Raw genomic sequence first — 6,948 nt, 5'->3', positions numbered from 1 at the left:
AGATGCACTCTTCAGCCCTCTCCCTATCACACAGAGCTGTTAATAAAACAGTGTGTCACTGAAATGATCTTAGGGTTGTCTGATAGTCCCAGGGAGATTAGTGTTTCTTCCCACATCAACAGAAGCCATATAAATAGCCCATGTTTATTTGTGACTCGCTGATTTTTCTAGTTTTGTTTGGGAGAACAAAATCATAGTTTATTAGCCACAAACACACACACACAGACACACAGACACACACACACCCCTCTGATGTTACTCACCCAACAATTCAGCTTCATAGAGTACAATAGTCACTAGCCCCTTGTGGCTATAGAACCCTTGAAATGTGGTTAGTGTGACTGAGGAACTGCCATTTTTATTTCACTTAATGTATTAAAATGAATTTAAATGTAATCACACATGATTAGTGGCTACTGTAGCTTACAAAACAGCTTTAGAGCATCTGCTCTCCTGACTTCAATATGGGGATTTATATCAATCTTACTGCTTGGTATTTCAATGATAACAGACTGAAGATGTAAAATTAGTTCGATTAGACTACTTCTCCATAAATGTCCCACAGAGAACCACCTTGGACAACAATTCTTGGGGTACCCTGGAAGTTTAATAAATGTGAAAAGAGAAAATGATTTTTGCTAAAAGGGAAAAGGAATTTTTAATTATAATCCATATATTCTAAATAGTTTTTACAAACCTTCAAAAGTTGTGTTGTATATATGAGGGGGAGGGAATTTATACTTTATATGGAAGCTCACTGGAAGCTTAGATGAAGATGAATCTGCGGACAGAGTCCTGAATTCAGCTACCAGCTATACCACATGTGACCCTGGATAAATCACTTTCCAAATGGCTGGTCTCTCATTTGTAAATTAGGAACCCACCCAAACTATTCCACAGAGTTTCTGAGACTAAATGATATAATATAGAGGCAACCGCTTTGTAAAATGCTATAAGGATGACATTTGCTATTAAAATTTAATTGATAGTATCATAATTCTGTAATCCTTCCAGAGTTACTCAATATGAATAGCAACGGCGGTGGAGAGGAGCCACACTTTCCTCACCTTTAATTGTAAAGTAATTCAGAAAAAGAAAGAAATTCTACTAGTCATTACGGTAAGTAAAGAGAGATTGCTTTTATATTAATGCACAGAAATATTTGTGTGTGTTCGTGGACTTTACAGTTATCCAAACCAATCTTGTTTTAAAAGCCAAATTTTAACTTATATGATTTTCTTTTCTGAGGTAGTTCCAACTTTAAGATTTTCCTCTTGTTTTTATAATAAAAGGATTTTTCAGAAAAACATAATAAGCTTTTTCTTTCATTTATTATGACTCACCCAGTATTTTGTTTTGTAATCTCCTGTCCTTTGGCCAAAGCCTCCAGGGCAATGCTTACCTTGGTAAGCACCATTGTTCTCACTCATGGGGACAACAATAATTTCAGACACTTAAATATGCAAATGTGTCTGTGATGTCATCCCCAAATGACAAAAAAATTATTCCAAAAGATAGGAAAATATGCGCCCTTTTCTTATTTTGCACATCTGAGAATGCCCAACTGAATTTCAGTTTCTTTCAGAAAATTCAGAGTATTTTTAATAAGAATAAATTTTTTTTCTTATGGTCATCTACTAATATTTTTTTAAATCTATATGTCCCAGTCTTAGCTAGTATGTTTTATTTGTATTTTCCAATGTCTAGGCTGAAACCTAAACACTCTTTTGATTGACAGATAAGTGTAATAGTTTTCAAAACAATCCATTTTGTTCTATTTACTTTAGTGCGTTTGAAACAATTGATATATGGCTTATGTTTGCAAGCATTTAATAATGAAAGTGCTATTTTATCCTAAACAATGAATCAGGGGATGCCTTGGCAATCTAATTTTTGCCTTTTGGGGCTTTATATTTTACACTTGAACACTCCAGCCAAGTCTAAAGTCTAGATACTTTATGAGTTTATATAAAAATACATTTAAAAAATTAGCCATTCTCTAACATGTAACATAAATATTTGTAGCCAAAAGCTATTCACATGTTATAAAGTTTTCTGGAATGTAACACCATGGATAAATATTCCAATATGGGTTAATAGCACATAAAGTCATCTTCATGTTACATGACTCATGAAGACATGTTTTAATCTTTAAGATATGTGTCAGTTGATCTAAGTTAGAACATGTATTTAAGACTTTGAGAGCACAAAACTAAACATTATGCTTCCCTTCAACTTGACAGAAAATCCAGAAGAGCTAAAAAAAATGTACCATGGGAGTACAGCTAAGCTGTATTCAGAAAAAAATAGTTGCTTTGATTATGTTCAGACATTCCTACAATTATTTTTTTGGAAGCAAATTGGATCTTTTAAGCAATCTACAGCTGCTATTTCTGAAATTGTTACTATTATGGCAAACCGGGAGTTTCATAGGTGCCAGACTCTGTCATAGTGTAGTATCTCATTTAATGCTCAAACACCCTTTCATGATGTGAGTAGGATTCTTAGTTTACACATGAGAAAGTGGAACTCAGAGAGGCTTGGTCAAATCAGCAGATAAATTATCATTAGTTTTAACAACAACGTGTTTAGATTTTTATTTTTTTTAGTGGATGAAAGAAACATGCAACTTGTGAAGTGAAACAGCAGTACTAGCCTACCAACGTGTTTGGACACAGTGCCTCCAACATCCCTGCCATGGACATCTTCCCTCCACTATATCTTTCCGTTAAGATTTTATTCGTTCTCCAAGGCTCAGTCCAAATGCCACATCCTCCCCGATTTTCCAGTATGAGTGTCCCACTCCTCTTATGTTCCCTTGGTGTGCTGTTAATATTCCTATTAGAACTCTGGCAGCAATGCATTCATTAAAAGAACACTTAGGGAGTACCACTTTGTACTTGGTGCAAGAGTTACCTGTGATAAGGTCTATCTCTCCCTGAGAATAGGGTCCTTGTCTTACTCACTTTTATGGGTTTTTTTTTTTTTTTTTTAATAGCATCTAGCAGAGAAACTTGCTCATAGGTATGCAATAGAGATTTGAGTAGCGTTCCATTCTGGCCACTCACTGAGTCACATCCAACAACCTCCCTGACATTTTTTTAAAATAAAATAGGAAGCAAACACATGACACACTTAGGGTACTCTCTCATTTATTGAAGAGTTCATAATCAGAAACTCCCACAATTGGAGAGTTAGGTGTGTACTTCAGTTGCTGTCACAAACTGCTTTAGAATGCCGTCAACATTTACTGTGAAAGTTTTTCCTTCTCCAAGATTTTTCTTTCAATTCTTTTAGGAGAAAAAAACCATTTATTAAATATTACTAAGTCCTTGCACCTTGCAGTTTCTATTTGCTCCTAGCGAGGGAAAGCTTTTTAGAGCTCTTGTGGGATACAATGGCTAGAGGGGAGAAGAATGGAGCTGGAGCATCTAGGAGCAATAAGCCCTAGGACGAATCAAAAATATATAAAAACAATGGAATCTTGAGGTTTTCCTGGATGCTACTAACTCATTGACATATTTGGCTATAACCCAGCATAATTCTACATATTCTGTACATTAAAATAAAAGTGATTTATTTAGGAATATCAAGAATATCTCTCTCTATGTAAGGTCCAATCAAAAAGCATAGTAACGATCTTATGCAAGTCATCTCTAAAGATCAAACACTAACCATGGTCCATAGCAAGGCATGTTGCAATTTACAATTAGAGTTATATTCACATGTCTATTTTTAAGATAATCATTTATTAAAGTAAAATTTTAAAAAAGCTTGTTACAAAGGGAGCACATAATTCTGACATTTATGTTTTCTGAGGCTGATTTCTTGTTGAGAATTGCAAAGTGTGAAATTTTTATATTGTCTGATATGTAAACTAATGTGGAATTACTCATGACTTGTAATTAACATAGAACATCTCATTAAAAAAACAGATAACTAAGCTTAGTGATAGATATTGAAACTGTATTCCTAGCCATAAAATTATGTAATACTTGATTTGGATTTGTGTCCCTGTTCAAATCGCATGTCGAATTGTAAACCCCAGTGTTGGTGGAATAGCCTGGTGGGAGATGAATGTATCATAGGGGTGGACTTCCTCCTTGCTGCTCTTGTGATAGTAAGTTCTTATGAAATCTGGTTGTTTACAATTGTGTAGCACCTCCTTCTTCATTATCTCTCTCTTGTCACCATGTAAAGATGTGCCTGCTTCCCCTTTGCCTTCTGCCATGTTTGGAAATTTCCTGAAGCCTCCCTGGTCATGCTTCCTGTAAAACCTGTGGAACCATGAGTCCTTTAAACTTCTTATCTTTATAAGCTACCTAGTCTCTGGTAGTTATTTATAGCAATTTGAGAGTGGACTAATACACTTGGTTAAGAACATTCTTTTGTGTTGGTATTAATTTCTAAGCATTAAGCATAGGCTGTAAATAATGCAATCTCTTACATTTGAATAGAGCTTATAAATGCTTCAAAATTTTTTTTAGATTTACTCAAGGATAAATTAATATTAAAGTGCTAGTTGTGTAAAGAACCTTATATGTTATCTCATTTCATGGTAAAAATTAGGAAGCAAAAAGATACATTTTGAACTTGTTACAAGTTTGCTCAGCTAATACAGGGCAGAGATTCAAATTTAGGTTTTTCTGATACTTAGAACTCTTCAATGTCTTTGTAATATCCCCTTGAAAACTGATAACAAGGAATTCTAGTGATTTGCCCAAGGTCATAATTCATGGCAGATTAGAACCCAGAATTCCCATCTTTTAGTTATTTCCATATTCTCTATTACTCTATGCTTTATGCGTAGATATTAGAAAGTCAAGATTAATTTTTAGTATTTAAAGATTTTCCTTTTCTTATAAAGGTTAAATGTGATTTGGATAGGAAAATCTGCTTCCAAGGACTGCTTACCTAACTAGAAATTCTGTATAAAGCCTGAAGCAAATAATCGGGGTAATTAACCTGAATGATGTAAACACTCTTTTTCATAGAGTCATGCTATATACAGTAAAAGTTATCTTAAGCATCATTTTACTAATCAGGAAGTATTCCTCTGAAAAATCTCTTCCATCTGAAATCTCTTAAGATTGCATATAATGCAGTATTTGGGCTCCAGTGGTACACATATAAGAGCTCTCACTTAGAGTTAAATTGTTTCCACTTAAATTGACAACACTTTAGGAAACAGGGACCATGTATTTTTCAAAATTGCTTTCTTGAATCTCAGATACTACGCAAGTAAGATAGTATACATATTTGTAGACATTTGTTGGAAAAAACTTGAGAACCCAGCATGCAGCCCATTCTCTGGAATAACAAATGTAATAGATTCAAGGACAACAGTCCCACACAAGCAAATATTAATAATTAGCTATTTTGTGACCAGAGGAAAGCGACAAGTTTCCTTTCGCAAAATCTAGCCCCTTCTTTACGTATACTTAGCTCCAGGAGTATAGCCCTGTGCATTTGCTCCTAAGTAAAATGAGGAAATAATCTATTGAGTCCATTGAGGTAATGGGACTTAAAATTAAGTTGTAAATACCTTTGGAAAATGTTGAGTTCCAACTCTCACACAAGATTGAATACAAACCTTTTTATTGTAAAGACCACATATTGCCCTTCCTCCAGTTCAATGAAATCAGAGATAGGAACTATGGATGTTTACTTGATGAGGCACTGACCCAGATGACGTCTAGTAGATTACTGCTTCAATGGCCTAAATGACATTTTAGAGCTTAAATGAATCAGTGTGCTTCTGAAAATACCTTGCACCCAAGGACTGGTTGGGTCCGGCCAAGTAAATATTAGCAAAATCAGTTGATTACAAAAAAAAAAAATCCAAATTCTCAATAATCTCATCAGGAATGCAGACCAAGAAATCTGAGATGGATTGGCTCACCAGGTCAATATTCGTCATTCAGAAGTCAGTGTGTTGGTATCGGCTACGGACACTGAGGAAATTACTTATCTTATTTTTTAAAGATATGTAGTATCTTTCTTAAGATATACAATAAACAGCAGCCTTTTTATGGCATGGATCCCTCCTAGGTGCCATCTGTAGAGTTTAAGCTAGGAAAGGTCACCCATTTGTATCTCTTGCTTGTTTATAGAACCTGGGCTGCCAGTTATTTAAAGGTCTCACTTTCAAAATGGACTTTGATTGACATATTTTCCTGTTTGCTTATTATCTGAGAAGGTAGCTCACAACAAAAATGTAAAGCCTTACATTCAAACTTGATGACTCAATGTTCCAAATGTTAGGAATGTGATTTGAAACAAATGGGATATACAATTAAGTTAAAGGGAATTTGACTTTTTATCAAGGTGAGATTGTCAGATGAGATATGTACAAAAATGTAAATATTCTCCTGAAGAGTGAAATGTTTTAATACAGGCATGACCAGTTTGACCAAAGCTCTCATTCTGTCTGTCATTATGTGAATTTCAAAACATTTTTTTTTCCATGAAACAATAGACTGGTACTTGAGGTCTGTTCTGTATCAAGGTAAATTTCATTTTGATTCCAATAAAAATAGTTATGTGAAAATCTCAGAATTTAAAAAGACCCTATCAGACAATTAAAACTAGTTTCCTGCAAATATATTGCTAAACTCTATGAAACTGTTTTTTGGGAATGGGTAGAATGTATTTGGCACTTCTAGGGATTAGTGTATTTCTAAATAATTTCTCAACTATTGGCTAAAGTTTAAATATTACAGCCTTTTTTTTCAGAAATTGAAACATTAAAACATACATTCAAGTAGAAGACACTAAATAGAATATTCTCAAACTAGGTTTTGAATATATCCTAGAAGGAGGATTTAAATGTCTCTATTGTTTTTTCTTTTGAACAGATTTGTGTGTTTGTTATACTTTTCCAAAAAAAAGTATAATTGCTCATTCCTAAAACTTAGAAAAGAATGGCTTTTTTCAAACTTTTTTATA

This window comes from Homo sapiens, chromosome 12 (assembly GCF_000001405.40).
Source record: "Homo sapiens chromosome 12, GRCh38.p14 Primary Assembly".
Lineage (NCBI taxonomy): Eukaryota > Metazoa > Chordata > Mammalia > Primates > Hominidae > Homo > Homo sapiens.
The sequence above is the reverse complement of the archived record's forward strand: the minus strand, read 5'-3'. Positions refer to the sequence as shown.